Below are 23,517 nucleotides of genomic sequence, written 5' to 3'. Positions count from 1 at the left end.
TTAATGATGTACTTCAAGGATCTAGAAAGTAAGAACAAACCAAACCTCAAATTTGTAGAAGAAAATAAAGATCAGAGGGGAAATAAATCAAATTGAGGCAAAAAAAAAATACAAGATCAATGAAATGAAAAGTTGGTTTTCTTGAAAAGATAAATATGAATTTAATGAAATTAATGAATTTAAATGAATTTAAATAATAAATTCATGGTATAGAATTAATTTTAGATTTTGTTGCTATTTTCTAATATTTTGTTGAAGGTTTCTATACCTACACTTATGAGAATATTGGTCTATAGTTTTCTTTCTTCTAATGTCTTGATATCAGAGTAATACTGGTCTCATAAAATGAACTGGAAACTGTTTCTCTTTCTTCCATTTTCAGGAAGAAAATGTGTAAAACTGGTGTTGACTCTAAAAGTATGGTAGAATTCTCTGGTGAAACTATTTGAGCCTCAAGATTTCATCTTAGTAGTATTTTAATTATAAATTCAGTTCCCTTAATAGTTAAAGAGCCATTCAAATTATCTATTTATTTTGGGTGGTAATTCGTACTTTTCTATGAATTGGTCCATTCCATCTAAATTATCAAATTTACATGTGTAGGGCTGTTTGTAGTATTCCCTTGTTATCCTTTTGATGTAGGCAAGATCCATACCTGTTTCATTCCTGACAGTAATAATTGGTGTATTCTCTTTTTTGTCTCTCTTGTTAGAGGTTTATCAATTTTATTGATCTTTGAAAAGAACCAGCTTTACGCAAAAATTTTTGTCTACGGTTTTTTATTTTCAATTTCATTGCTTCCTGCTCTTTACATTCCTCCTGCTTGCTTTAGGTTTATTTTGTTCTTTTTCTAGTTCTTTTGAGTTAGGAACCTAGATTTGACTGTTCCTGTTTTCTGATATAATCATTTAGTGTTATAAGTTTCTCTCTGAACACTGGCTTAGCTGTGTCCCATAAATTCTGGTATGTTCTGCTTTTGTTTTCATTCAACTATATGCATTTTTTTTTAATACCCTTTGAGATTCTTCTTCAACCCATGAATTACTTAGTAGTATAACTGTTTGTTTCTAGGTATTTGGCGAGTTTCCTGTTATCTTTCTGTTACTGATTAATAATTTGATTCAGACATGGTCAGAGAACACACTCAGTATGATTTCAATACTTCCAAATTTGTTGAGGTTTTTCGGCCCTAGAAATGGTCTGTTCCATGGGCACTGCAAAAGAATGTGTAGTCTGCTGTTCTTAGGTAGAGTGTTCTATAAAAGTCAGTTACATTTTGTTGGTTGATGGTATTATGGAGTTCTTCTGTATTGTTGCTGATTTTCTGTCTAACCGTTTTATCAGTTTTTGAGACAGTTGAAGTCTCCACCTGTAACTGCCTATTTCTCCTTTCACTTTCTATCAGCTTTTGCTTCATATATTTTACAGTTCTGATGTCTGGTATATACATTTGTAGGATTGCTATTTCTTCTTGGTAGATTGTCCTTTTATCATTATCTAATGTCCTCTCTGTCTCTCATAATTTTCTTTGGTATGAAGCATATTTTATCTTGTATTAATATAGCCACTCCTGTTTTCTTTAATGTTTGCATGACATGTCATTTCCATCCTTTTACTTTTTACATATATATATATCATGATATATAAGAAACTTCAAACATGATATATATCATGATATATATATGATATATACGTCATATATATGCATCATATATGATATATATACATATATATCATGATATATAAATCATGATATATAAGAAACTCACTTCAAACATGTGATATATAAAATATATATATCATATATATCGATATATATGTATCATGATATATGTATATATATCATATATATATCTCATTATATTATGTTTGAAGTGAGTTTCTTATAAACACCATAAAGTTGGGTCATATCTTTAAACCAATATCAATCTCTGTTTTTTTAACTGGTATATTTATAATGTGTTAGGGCTTAAGTTTGCATGTTATATTTTGCGTTCTGTTTGTTCTCTCTGTTTCCATTTTCCTGAATTTTTGTGGGTTATTTGAACATTTTTTAGAATTCCATTTTGGTTTATCTACAGTATTTTTTGTTTGTTTGAGATGGAGTCTCACTCTGTTGCTCAGGCTGGAGTGCGGTGGCATGATCTCATTTCACTATAACCTTTGCCTCCCAGATTTAAGCGATTCTCATGCCTCAGCCTCCTGAGTAGCTGGGACTACAGTCGTGCACCACCATGCTGGTTAATTTTTGTATTTTTAGTAGAGACAGGTTTTCACCATGTTGGCCAGGCTGGTCTCAAATTCCTGACCTCAGGTGATCCACCCACCTCAGTTTCCCAAAGTGCTGGAATTACAGATGTGAGCCACTGCACCCAACCTATATAGCATTTTTTAGTGTATACTTTAAAAAGCTTTTTAGTGGTTGCTCTAGTTATATTATATATACATAACTCATGCAAACTACTGGTGTCATCATTTTACCATTTCAAGCTAAGCATAAAAACTTTACCTTCCTTTATGTCCCTTTACTCTCCCTCATTTATAATTGCCTTAAATATTTTCTCTGCATAAACTTAGAACTACATCAGAGAGTGTTAGAATTTTTGCTTCAACCATAAAAGATAATTTCCAAAACTAAAGAGAAAGAAAGTCCATTGTATTTACTTGTATTTTACCCTCTCCAATGTTCTTTCTTTCTTCCTAACGTGACAAGATTCTTGCATGTATTGTTTCCACTTTGTTTAGAGAATGCACTTTATTCTTTTAGGGTAGGCTGGTCAGCAACAAATTCTCTTTGCATTTCTTCATCTGAGAATACCTTTATTTTCCCTTAACTCTTGAAAGGTATTTTCACAGGATATAGAATTCTGGTTGATAGTTCTTTCCTTTTAGCACTTAAAAAATGTTGTGCTATGTCCTTTTGATTTAATCCAGTTCAATCCAGTGTTCCCTTAATGAGCAAATACCTGAATATTGATGCTTCTGTGTTCCAAATACATGTTTTTCCACATATTATCAGAGAAGATATTACTTAGGTACCTTAAAAAATAAGTACCAGTTTTTCAACAGCTACTCAATTTGAGCAATTTCCACACATTTTCTCAATTATATTTTAGCTACAGAATAGAAATGCCTACATTTTTCCAATGGCAAGTCAACTTAAGAATTCTGCCTGGCAGGCATCAGATAAAGTTGGGAAGCTATCTTGATTACAAAATGTGAAGGCATCTGACCTAGTAAATAGTCATAGACTTACAAAGTGTGTGGCATCTCTTATAACGATGACTTGCAAAGCATATTTAAGTTGTTTTTCAGTGACAATAAATTTGGGCGATCCAGATATACGATCTTCACCGATCTTCCTTGTGAATACCATACACACATGTACACACAGAATGACTCAGGCTACTCACAAACCAGAAGAGTTAACTGGCCATGAGGGAATCAAATCTTAGTATACTCTGGGTTTCAAGTCATCAATGTTCCCCTTACCCTTTTCTTGTTTTAACTCACAGGAGGCTGCAGTACAAAGAGTCTCATGTACCCTTCACCCAGCTTCCCCCAGTGGTGACACCTTATATAGTTCTAATTCAATATCAAAACCAGGAAAGTAACATTGGTACGTTACTGTATACTAAACTATGGGCTCCTTTATACTTTTTATAGAGAAGTTATACAACAGTGATCTTTCTCAGAAACTCTCTTAGCACTTGGGCATTCTACTACCAAACTACCAATCTAGACTCTTCTAACCCAATTACAAATTACCATATATAAACAATCTTTATACACATACAAATATAAGCACATCCCGTATATTCGTACCACACAAATACAACAAAAAGAATTGCACCCATGTCTATAAAAACTTATATTAAAATAATAGTAATGCATCCTCCTCATCCCATCAGAGTTTTTTTTCCGCTAATTTCTTCTCTCCCCTGCTATTGCTACACAAAGACTATGTAAATAAACCTGCAGGATCAAAGAAATAATTAAAAGTTATCTAATGTAAAATTCCATCCAGTTCATTCTATAGCATCCCAATGATCAATCTTTCAGCCTTCACTTGAATGTCTCAAATGACAAGAAACTCTTAAGATCTAAAGGAATCTAGCACACCTTTGGTCAATATGCTAATTCTCAAAAGGTATTTCTTATCATGAGCAATAATTTGTTTCTCTTGAATTTGTACTAATTTGGTTCTAGTTATATCCTATGAGGATATTAGCATGCAAGTCTCTTCCCTAACTACCTTTTTCACAGAGAAACCAGACTTCCTGGTTTAACTGAGATGATTTTAGTTTGCACTTGTTGTTCTGACACAATTAATAGCCCTTTTCACCCTCAAGATTAGAGAAAACATTATACAGTTCCCCTATTCAAGACAGCCCTCAACTATTTGAAGACTACACATTTTTTTTTAATCAGGTTAAACATTTCCTTGTTTTCTGGCTATTCTTCATATACAATTTTTGCATATCTATGTTAATGAGGGATTTTATAATCCCAATTGAAGAACAGAAAGTCATTTACTTCTCTTTGAATACTAAATCAACATACAGCTATGGAATTACTATCCCTCTGGGTAAACACTTTCTGAGTTGTCACCTCATACAATCGTACCAGGTAGCAGTCTCATATTGTACCAGTAGATGTCATTCTATATATATTTAAAATTAATTAAGTTTCAATTCATTTATTCAACAAATATTTATTGAGCACCCATTATGTGCCAAGCGATTCTAGGTACTGAGAACATAGTGGTGACCAAGAAAGACACAATTTTGTTTTCACAGAGCTTACAGTCTAGATATTAATAAAAAATCTGCTTTATTTTTTTCTACATAAAAGTTTGTGAAATCCTAATCCTAATGCAGTTCAATTCAGAACTGTATTTTTCCTAGGTTAATAGATAGCACTCAAAATAACTCATAAAAACCAAATACTGTAATGAAACAGAATCAAAGAAACTGTGTTCTGTAGGACTAGATCAATATATCCTGGCTATTTTCTAACCTTTTGAATTTATTCAACATTTATTTTCCATACTTCAAGTTTCTAAAACCCAAATTTTAGGTAGTCCTCAGTACAACAGAAAGTAACTTATCTTTAAAAAACAGTTCAACTTTCAAAAAATGTACCTGCTTTTTTTTTTTTTCCTCTTTTTTTTGAGACAGGGTCTGGCTCTGTTGCCCAGGCTGGAATGCAGTGGTGCAATCTTGGCTCGCTGCAACCTCCACCTCCCGGGTTCACACAATTCTCCTGCCTCAGCCTCCCGAGTAGCTGGGATTACAGGCGCCCACCGCAATGCCCAGCTAATTTCTGTATTTCTAGTAGAGATGGGGTTTCCCCATATTGGCTAGGCTAGTCTTGAACTCCTGACCTCAGGTGATCTGCCCGCCTCGGCCTCCCAAAGTGCTGGGATTACAGGCATGAGCCACAGCTCCCGGCCTATACCTACTTATGTTTTCACAGGAATATGTTATAAATTTTAAAGACTTATTAATTCCCAAAGCTTCTTAATTCCCCAAATACATATTCCCTTATCTCTACTAAGAAAAGTTAGGCCAGGCACCATGGCTCACACCTGTAATCCCAGCACTTTCAGAGGCCGAGGCGAGTGGATCATCTGAGGTCAGGAGTTCGAAACCAGCCTGGCCAACATGGTGCAACCCTGTCTCTACTAAAAATACAAAAAACTATTAGCCAGGCATGGTGGTGTGTGCCTATAAATCCCAGCTACTCAGGAGGCTGAGACAGAAGAATTGTTTGAACCCACGAGGCGGAGGCTGCAGTGAGCCAAGATTGTGCCATTGCACTCCAGCCTGGGCAACAGAATGAGATTCTGTCAATTAAAAAAAAAAAAGTTAAATGTCACCTTCTAAACACCAAACATTTTTCCCAGCTAAACAGAGTAAGTAAAGACAGTACCAAATTATCCCTCAGCAGAACTTAGGAATTCTTCTACTGTCAAAAGTCCTTCTATTTTCTTTCTTTCTTTCCTGTTTTGTTGTGTTTTTTTTTGTTTGTTTGTTTGTTTTTTTGAGACAGAGTCTCAGTCTGTCGCCCAGGCTGCAGTACAGTGGCACAATCTCGGCTCATTGTAACCTCTGCCTCCCAGGTTCAAGTGATTCTCCTGCCTCAGCCTCCAGAGGAGCTGAGATTACAGGTGTGTGCCACCATGCCCAGGTAATTTTTTGTATTTTTGGTAGAGACGGGGTTTCACCATGTTGCCCAGGCTGGTCTCGAACTCCTGGTCTCAAGTGATCCACTGGCCTCGGCCTCCCAGAGTGCTGAGATTACAGGCATGAGCCACCACACCCAGCATTTTTCCTTTTTTTTTAAAGACTTGATATTTATTTATTTATTTATTTATTTATTTATTTATTTATTTATTTTGAGACAGAGTCTCACTCTGTCACCCAGGCTGGAGTGCAGAGGCATGACCACGGCTCACGGCAGCCTCAAACTCCCCAGGCTCAGGGGATCCTTTCCCCTCAGCCTCCCGAGCAGCTGGGACTACATGCCCAGCTTTTTCTTTTTTTGTAGACGCAGGGTCTCACCATGTTGCCCAGATAGTCTCAAACTCCTAGGCTCAAGTGATCTGCCCACCTCGGCCTCCCAAAGTGCTGGGATTACAGGTGCAAACTACAGCACCCAGCCAAAAGCCCTTATTTAAACAAACCTGTGAGACTACTAGCTATTACTAGGACTTCAAGGTAACTTACTCACACTTATAGCATAGCAATGAAAGGCCATACTTTGTCAAAGAAATAGATCTAAGAGAGGGGGCAGACACTGTACCTCAAGAAGGTATACTTGCCTGCAAAGAAATCTGAGAACCTAGAAACTACTCAATTACTATATTGTCTTCATCTACTCTCAAACTGAATGTTTTCCAAACTGGAAAAGCCACAGAAAACACGGTTATGAAAATATTTCAGGCTCTTAAAAAAAGAAAAATCCTACTACTTAGAATTTTTTAAGTTCAAAATTCAGTAATATGAATTTGAGAAAAATGATCCTTGCCAGAACTTAAGACACCGACAGCTTTATGTAATATCCAACTTAATGTTCCCTTTGGAATGCTTCAAACTTTTACTGTCTAAATTGCTAGAGAATACTACATATTGCTCAATTTTAGGATGGAATCACACGCATACTTCACAAATAATGTATAGTAAGTTAAAAATGAACATTAAGGTGCTTCATAAAAAATGGTTAATGGTGAAAAAATATCTAAATTAACCTATCCCTTAATATTAAATAAAGCATTTTATTTACTTTGAATGGTAAAGCGGTGGTTGAGCAAATATACTTAAAACATGGTTTGTTGTCTGTGGCTTTTAAATTACACTTGTAAACCATCTGATAGGAACAGTACTGTTAATATTTGGCGTGAGATGTCACCAAATTTGCACATACACAATGGCAGATAACTCTGTGAGGCCAGTATTTTTACCCCTAAAATTAAAATGCATGTGGGTGTGAAGTGAGGGGTTAGTGTACTAGAAAAAGTACAGCTTTTGAGTCAAAAAAAGTAATGTTCAAATCCCAGCACCATCCTAAATTAGCTATGTGACTTTGGGCCAAGTTATTTAATCTGCTCTAAACATCACTTTTCCACCAAGATGCAAATACAATTGTAAGAAAGATTGTATCATATAAAATGCCTAACATAGGGTCCGACATATAGTAGGTGCTCAGTAAATGGTAATTACAAGGGGATTCCACTTTTTTGACCATTACAATGACCGTATTAATTAATGTTGAACAACTACTGGCTCACAATTGTTATTAACACAATACATCTTTACTCTGCTATAACACTTCTATAAAACCAAACCCCTTACTCAACTGAATGCCAACAAATATGCGCCTTCTCCTTTAGCTCAAATATATTTTGCATGACCTTACATGAATTGCTCAGATAAAAGCTTTTTCTCTTTTGCTTTTGTTATTGTAAAGTGCACATGCATTTGAGTCATTTTCTCCTTTTGTTTCATATCCTTAAGATCCAAAGCTTCAAAGACAGAATGTCAGCATGCAGTCGATTTATGACTGAACTCTTGAAGAGACACTGAAGAATTACCTTGTCAATCACCCCAAGGACTCTGAAGGCCTTCAGCTCCTCGGCAGGGCTCCTTAGGTTCCAAAGGGGCCTTGAACTTAGTGATCCTGGAGGCTAATGGAAGATATCAAAGATTATACATCAATCAGGGAGGTACTTGAAGGAAGGCTGCCTGCTGAAGCAAATGCCAGGCCAAAGGAAAGTAAATTCATCATAAATCAGAGAATGGAAAGATGAAAGGAAGAAGTTTCTGTTTGTCTGTAATATAAAATTTTTAAAAATAAAAACTAAAGAAAATCAAAAAGAAAAAGCAAGAAAAAAGTTGCAAGTAAATAAATCATAACATTGAAAAAATTTTAAAAAGAAAAATTAATGAGCTGGCAGTTTCTAGAGCAATAATTCAATTCAGACCATACAGCTATCATAAAACTTTGTAACAAATGGATAACTGGGCCAACAATCAATCCCAGTCTTATATTTAACCCAGACACCTCAAGAGTAATTTGGAAGTGGGGGAACTAAAAAACAATATAATAATAAGCACACATGGGGAGGGAGGGGCACAAGCCATTCTCTCTCATCATAAAGCTACAGTTCTATAATTGTTACTTTATGTATTATGTGTTTTCAGAGGGACTGGTCCATTCAAATTCAACCAGAAAAATTACCAATAATTGTGAAAAATTAAGAAGCTTCATCATATAACCAATAATTACTAAAACTGAGCCTGTTTAAGAGATGATTTGTAAGAGAAAGAAATTTTTCTTCAAATATTTGAATATCTGTGATGTGGAAAACAGTCTGTTAGCTACAAAAAAGATTTAAAAAATCAGTGAACATAGGAAGGAAGATTTAAATTCTGCACACAATTTTAAAATAATCCCAACTTCCATTTATTAGTTTTAGTTTTTCCCTATCAGTAATATAAGCCATTAAATTAGATAAATTCTAAGGGCACCTCCATACGACATTTACAACTATAAAGTACTGCTACATTGATCCTGTATTAAAATGGTGATGCTGCAAAGGACAACAGGAGACACAAAGCCTTATTACTTACTTAGAGCAGACCTTATTGCTATCAAAAATCTATTAGAATACAGCGGAAACATTCTGACCCTATGAATGGAAGATAAAATATCCTGATCAAACACCATGGTAAGGGAATTATTGAGATACCATTTTTGATACTTGAAGTTCCTGTACAGACCAACATCACCAGACAGGCAGCTCCTTGAGAATAGAAATGTGCCTTAGTCATGTCTATATTCACAGTGCCTAGCATATTGCTAGTATTTAGTTAGTTGGAAAATGTGAGGGAGAGCAGAAATGAGGAGAGGAGAGAGAAAGGAGGGAATCTAGGGAGGGAGGTTACTTGGAAAATTAGGTGTCATTTACAACTGGGAAAACTACCATTTGTGAATTTTTCTAAAAGCAGCAATTCTAATTCTTTTCAATTTTTTTGTTTTGTTTTCAGATTTAGCAAGCAAATAATAATTTAACTGTACCTGAAATGATGTTTAAGTTTTAAAAGAGACTTTTTATTTCTAAAGATGCTTGAGAAAGTTGGTGATAGTGACAATTAGACTAGATAATAACCTTTAAATTGATTTAATTTATGCTTCTTAGATACATTTCAAAAATATTTATTTAATGTCTCAATTCATGAGGTGCTGAGCTAGGTACCATAAAAAAAACGGATATATTTCTGCCTCCCTATAAGCTTAAAAACTAAGGGGAACCTTTTTAGGGATATAAAAACATTTAGCAAGATATTTTAGTGTTATAATATGTAAACAGACATGTAATAGCAATAACCTCTTTTTTTTTTTTTTTTTTTTTTGAGATGGAGTTTCGCTCTTGTCGCCCAGGCTGGAGTGCAGCGGCTCAATCTTGGCTCACTGCAACCTCTGCCTCCCGGGTTCAAGCAATTCTCCTGCCTCAGCCTCCTGAGTAGCTGGGATTATAGGCGCCTACCACCATGCCCAGCTAATTTCTGTATTCTTAGTAGAGACGGAGTTTCATCATGTTGGCGAGGCTGGTTTCGAACTCCTGACCTCAGGTGATCCACCCACCTCGTCCTCCGAAAGTGCTGGGACTGAAGGCATAAGCCAGCACACCCGGCCAGTAGAAACAGTCTTTTCTATCTTCATTTATATTGTTTCATCTCTATTCTTCACCCCATACCAGGTGATGTACTTACAGGAAGTTGGTATTATATAATTCCCATTTTACAGATGAATAAAGGGATTCTCAGAATGCTGGAGTGTTTGTCTGTGGTCAGGAAGAGAGACAGTGGAAGAACTCCAACTACTATTCTAAAGCTTGCAATCCTTTTACTAACCAACACATTCTGAAAATTAAAAATTCTTTTCTGCTGCTGCCTCTTGCTACAAGAACAAGTAAGAACTGCTTGTGATTTTGGCAAAAGGAATGCTAAGGAAAAGTCATAAGGAGGGAAAAAAGAATACTTTAAATGATATTTAATCCATTACATTTGTCTTAGAAAATATGGCCAAGTATCTCCAACATCCCTATCTCCTATTTATACCTCCTTATTCACAGATGTCACTGTTTCTTTCAGTTTCCAAAGAAAGTTATTTGTTCACTTTGGCAATTTAAAGAGCAAAGAAAGCAAACTATGAAATCTCTATTGCATCTTTCAACAAATAATTACTGTGCACCCACTATGTGCATGATAACTGAAAGGGCTATAAATTATCAAAAGGCTCAGTCTAACCTCAAGAAGTTCACCATTTGAGAAGATAAGACAAATACATGAACAGTTAAATAACAATAAAACACTCTCTTAAAAATACGGGACTACATAGATACATCATTAGTGTATGAAAAACTGTGGTCTCAGAAAGATGTGGGACTAAAGGTGATTTTAAATGTTATGTGGAAATTAGATTAGGAAAAAGTTATTCTATACTGTATACAATTGGAAAGCATTAGCCTGTTGGGGAAAAGTTGTTCAAATTGGAGAACAGAGGAAAATAAAATTATATACTTAGGGTCAGTTTTCACAGGCCTTGAATGCCGAGAAGAAAAGTCTTGACTATACAGTCTCCGAAGTCTAGACAACAAGTCTTTCTATGAGAAATAACCCAATGAAAACAGTGATTTAGTAAGGTTACTCTTGCAAAGACAGGAATGGGGAAATTGAAGGACAAATGACCAAAGGCAAAGTGATCATTAAAGTTCTCTTTTTACTTTAACCATCTATAAAAGTTTGAGATCACAGAAACGAACAAAGAAAGACCATGAAATAAAATCATCAATAAAAAAATTGTATTTCTCATATGTAGTGCTTAAATTGGGTAGAATCCTATAGATCTACTCCTTTCTTCAGATGGCAAAAGGACATACAAATCCACAGAATTTTAAGAGCAGAAAGAGACCTTAGAGATCAAGTCCAACTTTTTTTTTTAGATGAGAAAACTGAGACGCAGCAAGGTTAGCAAAAGTAGGTAATAGATAAGAGGGGATTAAATCTTACTTATGAAATAATAGAATGTTGTTAGGGGAAACTTGGCCCATTGCGCTATGAAGCGCGACGGGAGAAGCAATGTATTTCTAGGTAATATGATTGAGTTCCTTGATGGAAAAGTAAGATTTTCACTTACATTTATTAGCAATTATAGCAGAAGATGCTAAGAGAGGCAAAGAATGGTTGTATTCATCTATACCAGGACTAAAGACAAGGGAAGAGAGGCAGGAGTACATGATGACCCAACAATCTTCAAAAGCAGAGGTGGCAAGTACATATCACTCAACTGGTCAAGTCCACGGCAGGCATCTCTGTTAATCCCACAGTCTCACAACTCTTCTCAATACAATGCTCTTGGCAGCCACTACGCATGGATTAGAATTGGCACACTAGTTAAAACCTACTTACTATTGTTGTTCTCGCTCTGTCACCAAGGCTGGAGTGCAGTGACACGATCTCGGCTCACTGCAAGCTCGATCTCCCAGGCTCAAACGATAACCTTGTGCCTCAGCCTCCTGAGTAGCTGGGGTTACTGGCATGTGCCACCACACCTGGCTAATTTTTTTATTTTTTTATTTTTTGTATTTTTAGTAGAGATGCAGTTTCACCATGTTGGCCAGGCTGGTCTCGAACGCCTGGCCTCAAGTGATCCACCTGCCTCAGCCTTCCAAAGTGCTGGGATTACAGGCCTGTTGTACATTCTTTAAAAGGCTTTGTTTCTGTTTGGGGATTTGTTTTTGAAGTTGGTGTTCAGCCTGCCCACTGTCTTTTTCACTTGATATTATTTCCTGTTCTCAGTGAGATCTCTCTCTCTATTCTTCCCAATCTGTTGGTGCAGTACTTCTTAAATTTTATGTGCACCACCTGATGATCTTGTTAAAAAGAAGATACTGATTCAGTAGGTCTGATATTCTGCATTTCCACCTAGCTCTCAGGTGATGCTGATGCTGCTGTTTCACCAACCACATTTAGAATACGGTTACTTACTCCTCAAATAACCTGAGAGAGAGTAACCATTACTGCGGGAAAACAAGCAATCAAGGGCAAAAGGAAAGCACCACAAAGAATGTATCAAGAAACCACACTCTGAACTCTACTGTCTAATTATGACAAAGCTCCTGAATTTGGCTTCATCCATGAATTTTTGGCTTTGCAAAGACTTTCACGGGCAATCTACCAACCCTAATACCCCGTCTCCTGAGCCGCACTAGGTCACATTTCAAGCCTGACACTAAATTGCAGACCTATTACTGACTTAAGCAAATGTCTCACTGAGGGCAAATTTAAAATATTTTCTAAGGAATAATGGAATAATATCAATTAATAATACAAGTAAACAAAATGCACAATAGAAAAATACTTGCAATATTATATCAGTTGTACTCAAAATCTACAAATATTCAGGAAAGGCACACATTCTACATATTAATTTTCATTCACACCTTGTAACTGCATAAAAACATATTCACACTTTAGAAACTACACAAATATTTTATGTGCTAAATTTAGATCATTTATTGTCTTTTTCTAAATTTGATCTTTAGTTTCAAATTCCTATAGCTAAAAAAAGCAAAAAAACTATTCTAAATCTTTTCCAGGGAAAGCTTCTTTCAACATTAATTCTTAAATCATTCAACGTTGTCTAGGATTTATTTGAAAAAAAAAAAAGAAAGAAATCTGTCTCCTTCAGTTAAGATTCAACCTTTACTTTAAAAAAAACCTCATTTCCTTTTTATGTGAAACCTGCTCCTAAATTTTCTTGGAGCCTTTTAGTAATGAAGCAATGAAGAAAAAGAGTAAGAGAGTGCTTTTTTTCCTTTCTGTGCTTTTGCAAAAAGGATATTAACATGAATGACTGGGAAACTTAGAACTTTTATATTTATTATATAAAGATCTCTAAAGTTCAATACAAACACTTAAAACATCACAGAAAACCTGGGTGGAAGAAGTCATGATAGACTGTACCAAAGGAGAAAACAATAATTAACAAAAATTTAAAAAGCCAAAAAGGGTTCCTTTATTGTCTTAATCAACCAGGCTAGAAAGAAATGTTTGCACACTGATTCCAGAGAGAAATAATATCTGCTTTGCACCAAATTTGAGCTAAAGGGGCCTTAGAAATCATTTACACAAATCCTCTCATTGTGTTGGTTGAAATTCAGACCCAAAGATGGTTAAAGAAGTGAAATAATAAATGCACCAAGCTAATCACAATCCTCTGGAAGACTTTTAACTTAAATTATACATGAGAAAATAATCAAGGATGCTCTTGGCCAAAAAGGGCCAGGCTTAACAAAATAACATACAAAAGGAAAATTTAAAAAGCAAATGTTTACCATAAAAGAAAAATACTGTGCCTACTCTCCTCTAGCCTCCTTGCCTAAGAACCGAAAAAATCCTACATGTCAAATCAGATTCAGAAGGCACTCCTTTTTATCCTTTCTGATAGAATTTCCCATTAGGATGGCTCTTACCAGTGTAACTTTGTTTGCTCAACTATGTACATATACAGGTCCTCAACTATGCTACAGGATTTGCAAGAGCAGGCTGTGTCATCATCTTTTGTATAACTCCAAAGTATATCTAGTTTGATTCTATATACAGTCTTAAAAGATGCTTAATGAATTACTGTATAATCAAATGTAATCAGCTTTCCTATATTAGATCTCTTCTGTTTTATTCTCATTAGAAGTTATACTTGAAGAAATTCTGACTGATATACTTCATGGTTCTATTCTTCTAGTTAAAACTATACAGGAGGCTCAACATACTTATTTACCTAAGAAATTATTGCTTCATAGATATGCCTATAGGAAACTAACAGGGATGCAAAAGTAGGAGGATTACATGAATAAGTATAGGTAAACCATTCAAATTTAATGTTATAAGAATGAATAGAATACTGGTAATTTTAAATCCCTAAAACTTTTAGAATACTGGCCAGGCGTGGTGACTCATGCCTGTAATCACAAGCACTTTGCGAGGCAAAAGTGGGTGGATCACCTGAGGTCAGGAGTTCAAGACCAGCCTAGCCAACATGGCGAAACCCCATCTCTACTAAAAATACAAAAATTAGCCAGGCATAGTGGCATGCGCCTGTAGTCCCAGCTACTCGGGAGGCTGAGGCAGGAGAATCGCCTGAACCCGGGAAGCGGAGGTTACAGTGAGCTGAGATCGCGCCACTGCACTCCAGCCTGGGTGACAGAGCGAGACTCCATCTCAAAAAAAAAAAAAAAAAACTTAAAAATTTAAAAATTTAAAAAAACTTTTACAATATTTATATACAAGATGGATTTAGTAAAGCAAGTTCACAGGGAATTATGTTAATGCTTTCATCAATGCCCCCCCAAAATGAAATTGAGTATATACACATTAGTACTGCACACGAGGAAGGTTGTCAATCCCACGGAAAATGGGAATTGAATCAAAGTAATGTTTACATAAATATTCCACTTAAAAAGATAAAATTCAATGGTGAAAAAGTAAAGGAAATAAATTTAATATAATTAAAAGAACAATGATAGAGAATAGGATAAGATTAGCAAACAGAATACAGACTAAAAGAGTCGCAGTAATTCACAATCTGAAAATCAATCAGCAGAATAATGTCATTTAAAACACAATCATTATGTTAGATTATGTTAGAGCAACATAAGTATATATGGCTTGCAAGTTGAAACACAATCTTTTTGTTTTATAAGAAATGGTCAAACACTTAACATCAGAAATTCTCAGAATGTCTTACACTGATTAGTACAGTTTTGACAACTGCTATCTTATCATTTTCAAAAAGCATACAAAGCATAAAAATGTGTAGGAAAAAGTATATAAGCCGGTATATGAAGGGGAAATGAAGAATGAGGCTAAAACTTAGTCTTTGGCTTATGGGCTGATCTTCATGCTAGAGAGGCACTTGATTTATGTGTATATGTGTAATCCACAGAAATTTTTTTTTTTACTTCATTTAATCCTAGTAACTACCCAGCAAAAAATTACTATATTCTCATTATTCAGATATAGAAACTGACATGCAGAAGTGGGATTAAGTATCTTGTCCAATCTTCTATGACTTCAAGTGGCAGAGCTGGATATGAACAAGCCTGCCTGACTCTTAGATCAATTAAGAAAATAAACTATTTGGGAGGCTGAGGCGGGCAGATCATGAGGTCAGGAGATCGAGACCATCCTGGCTAACATGGTGAAACCCTGTCTCTACTAAAAATACAAAAAAGTTAGCCGGGCATGTGGTGGGTGCCTGTAGTCCCAGCTACTTGGGAGGCTGAGGCAGGAGAATGGCGTGAACCCGGGAGGCGGAGCTTGCAGTGAGCCTAGATCGTGCCACTGCACTCCAGTCTGGGGGACAGAGTGAGACTCCGTTTCAAAAAAAAAAGAAAAGAAAAGAAACTAAACCCTTTCTCCCATTTCCGGAAGACACAATTCTTAAATTGCATTTGATATAAAGAAAAAAAATAACAGAAAAGTTTCCTCCAGAAATTTGCCAAATCCAGGTCGATACAGCATAAAAACAATAATAACCTGCAATGTTTCTAATGTTTTCAGTATTCATCTGCGTTTTAGACAAGTCTAGCAGAAGTCCCAAATAACATAACTATCTCTGCTAGAATTATGCTTTTATAATTCCAGGTGACCAATAGCATATACTTGTATAACTTAGGCTTAAAATGAATAGTTTTAACATGAATCAATAAAACTGGAGAACAATTATACAAGAATCACAATCTAACTTTAAAATGTCCAAATACAAATAGATATCATAACAGTATAAATTACTGTCAATCTACAGATGAGGAGATTAAGGGTACAGTAAGAAACTAATAAAAGACCAAGAAAAGGAGAAAGCAAGTCTTATTTTATTCCACTTTTGGTGGTTTGCTATAATGCATTTCTTTCTACCAACAACCTTTATGAAAATCATTAATAAAATTCAAAAAATCAAAATCCTATAACATTCTAATTAGAAATAAAGCAGAGAGACCAGACAGCAAAAAATCACTGAAGAAAACACACAACAAAATATGAGACATACCTGAGATACATCATCAAGCTGAGGTTTCCCATAAAGACTAGAGATACTTTCTGCCCGCATGAGGTACTCGGCTGTTCTTCTCTTCACAGCTTCTCGACGGGTAGGGCTTGACTCTCCTAAAAAAAAAAGTCTGGACATGTAAAAAATAAATTTTCCTCAGTTCAACCTGAAAATTAACTTCCTTCTACCCAATACACTGCTTGTTCACATTTCTAACAAAAAAGAAGAGATATTCAAAATTGGAAAAGACATGAAAGTTATTAGTATCAACCAAGTCTAACTATTACCCCCCATTGATTTCATTTATCCAAATTCTAACATTCTCCTATTTAAATATGTATTGATAATTTGATGTATTTTTGTAGGAGTCAAATATATAAGAAATGTCTATTTGTAAAAAGCTCTGAAGACAAAAAGACTAGCCCTAGTCCAGACATTATACAACTAAGCAACTCAACAAATAGGACCAAATGCAACAGCTGTTGTGTGTGTGTGTGTGTGTGTGTGTGTGTGTGTGTGTGTGTGTGTGTGTGTTTTCAACCTTGGTTTTTTTCTAAAAACCAAATCCTACAAAACAATGTTTCCTGGTTTGCTGAACTGAAGTGAACTGAATTATAATAAAGAGATAATTTCCCCCAAAAGACTACTAGTAGAACCCTCTTCTTATTTCTGCCTGGAACAGCATCTTCTGCTTCTGGGAAATGTCCCTTTCTTCTTCCCATCATACTCTTCTACCCCTTCCCCTCATCACTAACCAGGTGGTTTGAATGAAAGCTGCTTTCTTGTTTCAGATATCAGTCCCTCTAATCACCAAGGTCCATTTAGCCAAGGATGGGCCCCCCTAGTCAGGAGCTGAGCCAATCATAGAACCCTATCCTCCTGGCCACAGTTGAAGAAGGGAGGAATTGGCACAACACAAACTGGACTGTCTCTGTTATTCGAGCTATAAATAAGAGGAGTAGGAACTGCCAACAGCTGGTTTCTGCCAATGCAAAAAAAGGCCAATGTGAAAGAACGAACTTAACTCAGAAAGCAGATATACGAGACTTAAAAGAAAAAATAGAAAGAAATCCCAGTGTTTTCAGGTGAACCTACTTTCCTCTAATGTAACTGGCATCCCTGATTTCAGGCAAAGCTACATTCCTGCCCTTCTTTCCCTGAGGTAGTCCGAATTTGGATTTCCGCACATGCAAACCAAAGAATCCTGACTAAATACGGACCTCAACGAAAAGCTGCAACAAAGTTGGGATTGCAATTTCGCTAAATAACTTTCATTTCACACCTTTTACATTACTATTCCACCTCTTCTCTCCTTCATGAGGAATTCACAAATATAACTGGTCTTGGTGGGGGGAAAATTTCTATTGCTTTTTAACTGTGGAACCATCTACATTTATTTATTAACTCTCCAACTCCTCAACCCGCAATTAAAATGTCAGTGTACTTCTGCCTCTACCCTTACAATCTGCTTACGTCCTAAAGGCAAGGTTTTAGAGGGCTTTTCTACTCAGTTGAAAAATGAGTATATTCTGTGAAAATCACTTAAATAACTATAACATACTTTGAAGATAAAACATGCCACATAATAAAAGCTATCTATTTGCTATTTCTACACAATACTAGTCCTTTGGTTTAGGGTTTACTGTGTCTGGAGTCTGCTATTTCCATTGTCATTAGCTCTTCTCATTTCAGATTATATAATGCCTTCCAAGCCCTAATTTAAATCCCCATTTAAGATTTTTGATTCACCTTAGGCTCAAATATAATAAAAACTATGGCAATTTACTTTTTAATTCAGTGTGTTTAAGCTTTAATAAAGTTTCAAAATTTGCTTCGTAAAAAAAAAAAACTCACCAAATAATTTGGAATTCGAAATGTCAAGATATGGAACAACTAGTTAAAGCTAGAATTAAAGCCATATTTTATAATCAAATTACTATTTTTTAAACTTTTGGTTTTTCTGCCACTTTCTAGGCAGTCTCCATAGTAACAGAAACAAGAACCAGAAGCCAGAAGTTGAAATGGACTCCTGCTGAATATGGTGGTTCCACTTCCAAGGAAACTACAATGATGTGATGGAAATACTGAAAGGCTTTTTAAATGTAGCCTTATATATAGGCCAGGTGCGGTGGCTCGTGCCTATAATCCCAACACTTTGGGAGGCTGAGGCAGATGGATCACCTGAGGTCAGGAGTTTGAGACCAGCCTGGCCCACACAGCAAAACCCAGTCTCTACTAAAAACATAAAACTGGCCGGGCGCGGTGGCTCACGCCTGTAATCCCAGCACTTTGGGAGGCCAAGGTGGGCAGATCACGAGGTCAGGAGTTCGAGACCATCCTGGCTAACATGGTGAAACCCCGTCTCTACTAAAAATACAAAAAATTAGCCAGGTGTGGTGGTGGGAACCTGTAGTCCCAGCTACTCAAGAGGCTGAGGCAGGAGAATGGTGTGAACCCGGAAGGCGGAGCTTGCAGTGAGCCAAGATAGCGCCACTGCACTCCAGCCTGGGCGACAGTGCAAGTCTCCATCTCAAAAAAAACAAAAACAACAACAACAACAAAAAAAACACACAAAATTAGCCAGGCATGGTGGCGGGCACCTGTAATACCAGCTACTCATGAGGCTGAGGCAGGAGAATCATTTGAACCCGGGAGGCAGAGGTTGCACTGAGCTGAGATCATGCCACTGCACTCCAGCCCGGGCAACAGAGCAAGACTCAAAAAAGTAACCTTATACATAAATACTACGGTTCCTTCCTTATCAATCCCTTAAAAGGAGGTCATAATCACTGCTGATCAACAGCAGCATCCAAGAATAAAAACTATCTCTTGAAGATTTCTGCTCCTGAATGCTTATTCAGGTTTGTCAGTACCAGAAAAAAAAAAAGATGACTCTATAGATTTCCAGGATATTTCTAACTAGTCAAATTATTGACAAATGTGACTTTAAACAGATTTTAATTGACCAAAAAATGTTTAATTAACTCTAACCTGCTTGATTTCTTGTTCTCCCTTTTAAAATACACACACACAGTCCACAATGATTATCTGTTAATCATTCAGCTACAGCAAGAATTTCCAGTGGGCTTAGGCATTCAAAAAAGAAAAACTAGGCTGTGGCTCACTCCTACAATTCCAGCACTTTGGGAGGCCAAGGTGAGAGAACTGCTTGATCCCAGGAGTTCAACACAAGCCTGGGCAACATAGCAAGATCCCATGTCTGTCTCTATTGAAAATACAAAAGTCAGCCAGGCGTGTTGGTGCGCACCTGTGGTTCCAGCTACTTGGGAGGCTGAGGCAGGAGGATCACATGAACCTGGGAAATCATGGCTGTGGTGAGCCACGCTCATGCCACTGCATGAACCACTGCACTCCAACCTGGGGAACAGAGCAAGACTCTGTCTTTAAAGAAAAAAAGAAAGAAAAATTGTTCCCATTATTTAATAACCTTTATGTTAAAAAGTTCTGGTGTATCATAAGAGATGTCTTAATGTGGATTGTGACAACCTGTGTTTCTTCACCTTCTCAATTTCTGATCATACAGGGTGATTATAGTGTGTGATCTCTGATAGGGAGTAGCTGAGTAGATATGAGGAGAAAATCCAAAGTTGTTGATGAAATTTACAGAAACACTCAATTACCCATGCTGTGTTTCTCAGTGCACCATCTCTGACTTCAGTCACTAAGAAAAGTTTATAGAAGGCACGGTATACAGATAACGGAATCCAGAAATTCTAACTTATCCAAGAAGCCATCACCACTTGGCACCCTTCATTATACCATATTCTATTTATAAGAAATATATCTCTTCTCTTTTATAAGAAAATTAAGTCTGAGGAATGTGAAATGTCTTTCTCAGTTACACAGTTACTATAAGAGCCTGAACCTAAACCATGTCTTACACCATACTTCAGGGTACTTGCCACTATCCTAAGCTACCTTTCAATATAAAGTACCATAACTGAATTTGAATTTGATTATTCTACTGTTTCTGAGTAGGACAAGAAAAATACAGAGCACAGGAGAAGTACAGGTGAGTATGGAAACAAAGATACAGAGAAATAAACATAAGAATTTGAGAAAGGTGCCTGTTAGGCAACAAAGCAAAGCAGAATCAGAATGGAGAGACAACAGACAAACATACAGGAAAACTGGAGCTACAAAGAGTTATATGTCATACCATGTAAAAGAGAACAGGTCTTTCTGAGAAAAACTGGTCTCTTGAACATCTTTATTACCCAAATATGTATTTGGATAACAATGGCCTTTTCTCATTTGCCCATTTAAAAAAAAAAAATCAAGAGGCATTTTTACTCATGGAACTAATAAAATTCAGTTTCGCAACCTAGAATAAAAAACGGTTCTTTCAATTCTACTCTTAGTCACTAAAAAGAATATAACTAACAGCCTCATCATTTGTTCAACAAAAGAAAAGCCATGCTGGAGGAAGAACAAGCCAATTTAAACATCTTGAAAGACAGTATGTCTATATCTGTGTTTCGTGGGAAATTTTAAGGGGCTATTAAGAGTATTTTGACTCTATTTGATTTCTGCCACATGCACAGAAGTTAATCCCCACATAAGACTCTACTTAGTCACATTTTATTATATTCTTATCTTTATTTCTCTACACCACAAATACTCTCCCAATGGGCCCTGTGCTTAGTCAAGCATGCTTGATTTCATTCAGATTTATCACAATAGAAAGAACATCCAAATCAAACTCGGTTTGAGTTTTTGTTTGTTGCTGCTTTTTTGCCTTCTTTTTTGTTGTTGTTGTTAACAACTTTAGTCACATAAAAGAAAACTCACACTTGAGATGGCCTTGGTAGTTACAGTTAGTTTTTTTTAAGTGCTGATTTATTATGTTTAATGGTGTTTTGTTCTTTTCAGGTACAGCCTACCATTTCTGCCTTATGCTAAGTGTTCTGACAACAAAAGGCAACCTTGAGAAGAACAGTAATTTATAGTTCTACACATCTACCACAACTCTGAAGCCATCAGTCTTTCCATGTATAACATGAACCAGTCAGGGAATCTGATTTCCATTTGCATTTAGTCAACCCCCTATTAATGTTTTTTCAAAACCAATTTCATGTGACCCTAGAAATTCAGAGAGTCACCAAAGAATAGTAAAAGTCATAATATTGATGCCCAGGCAATGCCTCAATTATGATTGTTTTCAATAATGTCTAGCAGTTTTTCTGCTATCAGTAACACTAACTGAAAACAAATATTATACATCATTATATCATAGAGTGTTAAATACCTACAGAGACAGTGTTCTTAGATTCAACAATTTCTTTCTGCTCCCTAACCTATTTTTCCTTGTTATGCAATTTTAAAGAGAGAATCCAAAGACTTATTTACTCCCTTCAAAATAACATTGCTGGCCAAGTATGGTGACTCACGCCTGTAATCTCAGCACTGTGAGAGGCTGAGGCAGGAAGATGGCTTGAGCCCAGGAGTTTGAGACCAGCTGGGACAACATAGTGGGACCCCATCTTTACAAAAAATTTTTTTTAATTCGCCAGGCCTGGTGGTACACACCTGTAGTCCCAGCTACTGGGGAGGCTGAGATGGGAAGATTGCTTGAGCCCAGGGGTTCAAGGCTGCAATGAGCTGTGATGGCACCACTGCACTCCAGCCTGGGCAACAGAGAGAGATACTGGCCAGGCAATAAAAATGGCCAGTCTCTTAGTGATGAGAAACTCTTGTCCAAATAATTATTTGCAGTCCAAACTCTTGTCCAAATAATAATGATAGCAGTCCCTTAAGTTTCTCTTATGTTCTAAAGTCAAATGGCTTATAAAAAATTAAGATTAAAACATCACAAAGATCTAATGACAGACACCAAACGAAAAAGAAAGAGCCAAAACTAAGGAACTAAAATTTTTCCTTATGAGAAGGAATAAAAATATCATCAGAGAAAATTTGGAAATGAAACTCCACATAAATTATGAGTTTTTAATCTGGTAAACATGGAAAGTCTCCTGACCCCCAAAAAGGATTTTCCTCATTCTTTCACTGGCCATGAGACACACATCTTAAGAGAAGTAGAAAATCTACGGAAGAATCTAGAGTCCAATAATTGTTTTCTTGATGCCATGATATTAATTCCCATATTTTTCCTTTGAAATGATCTAAAGTGATCAAGACAATTACTGATAACAAGCAGTTTATTATTCTCAACCCATGAAGTTTCAGACTCCTTTAATGCATCTCTACCATAAAAATTAAATTGACTTAGTGTATTAATACATCAGAATCAGAATAGACTCCATTTCATCTTTTTTCAAATGGCTGTTAACACAAACAGATATATCTCCATATTTAAATGATTCAAAGAATGAGGGCAGGTGCAGTGGGTCACACCTGTAATCCCAGCACTTTGGGAGGCCAAAGCAGGTGGATCATTTGAGGTCAGGAATTCAAGACCAGCCTGGCCAACATGGTTAAACCCCATCTCTATTAAAAATACAAAAATTAGCTGGGCATGGTGGTGCACACCTGTAATCCCAGTTACTCAGGTGGTTGAGGCAGGAGAATCATTTGAACCTGGGAGGCAGAAGCTGCAGTAAGCCAAGATGGTGCCCCTGCACTCCACCCTGGGTGACAGAGCGAGACTTTGTCACCAAAAAAAAAAAAGAATGAGTCAAGTAATACTCTCAGACTATATCACATTTGAAAACAATTTCAGAGTAACAGAGAAAATCCTCCCTAACAATTAACTTCCTTTATATAAACTACCAGAGTGAAAATGTTCTCTATCATTTATTCCTGCCCCTCCTATCCCCTTTAAAAGATGCCTAATAGTTTCTGAGTTATCTACTATGTTCCAGGCACATGGTCATCTCAATGTTTATAGTCATCTCAGCACTGTCATAGAACATTACATGTAGA

At 36.3% G+C, this 23,517-nt stretch overlaps 1 protein-coding gene across 46 annotated transcripts in view, besides 1 other annotated feature; it reads right to left on the bottom strand.

Annotated features, from left to right (window-relative positions):
- RPS6KC1 (ribosomal protein S6 kinase C1) overlaps positions 1-23,517 on the bottom strand; it is an 811,495-nt gene that overhangs the window by 678,148 nt on the left and 109,830 nt on the right. For 33 of the 46 annotated variants that reach the window (XR_007058661.1, NR_146210.2, NR_146207.2 and 30 more), the window contains 2 exons: positions 16,615-16,730; positions 8,096-8,188 (listed from right to left, as the gene is read on the bottom strand). Coding sequence is in view for 25 of the 46 variants with exons in the window: in XM_047417948.1 (XP_047273904.1) it covers positions 8,096-8,188; positions 16,615-16,730 (209 nt within the window). In the remaining 21 variants the exon portion in view is untranslated. The remainder of the gene's footprint in view (positions 1-8,095; positions 8,189-16,614; positions 16,731-23,517) is intronic. The other 13 variants (XR_007058662.1, XM_047417936.1, NM_001349654.2 and 10 more) reach the window with 1 other exon arrangement.
- Positions 7,671-8,348: an enhancer, noted in NCBI's record as "NANOG hESC enhancer chr1:213349583-213350260 (GRCh37/hg19 assembly coordinates)". NCBI's record gives its function as "activates a minimal SCP1, AML or CMV promoter by ChIP-STARR-seq in naive H9 embryonic stem cells {active_cell/tissue: H9 hESC(naive)}" and the evidence as "EXISTENCE:reporter gene assay evidence [ECO:0000049][PMID:30033119]".

This window comes from Homo sapiens, chromosome 1 (genome assembly GCF_000001405.40).
Source record: "Homo sapiens chromosome 1, GRCh38.p14 Primary Assembly".
NCBI lineage: Eukaryota > Metazoa > Chordata > Mammalia > Primates > Hominidae > Homo > Homo sapiens.
This window is presented reverse-complemented; position numbering and strand designations above follow the sequence as displayed.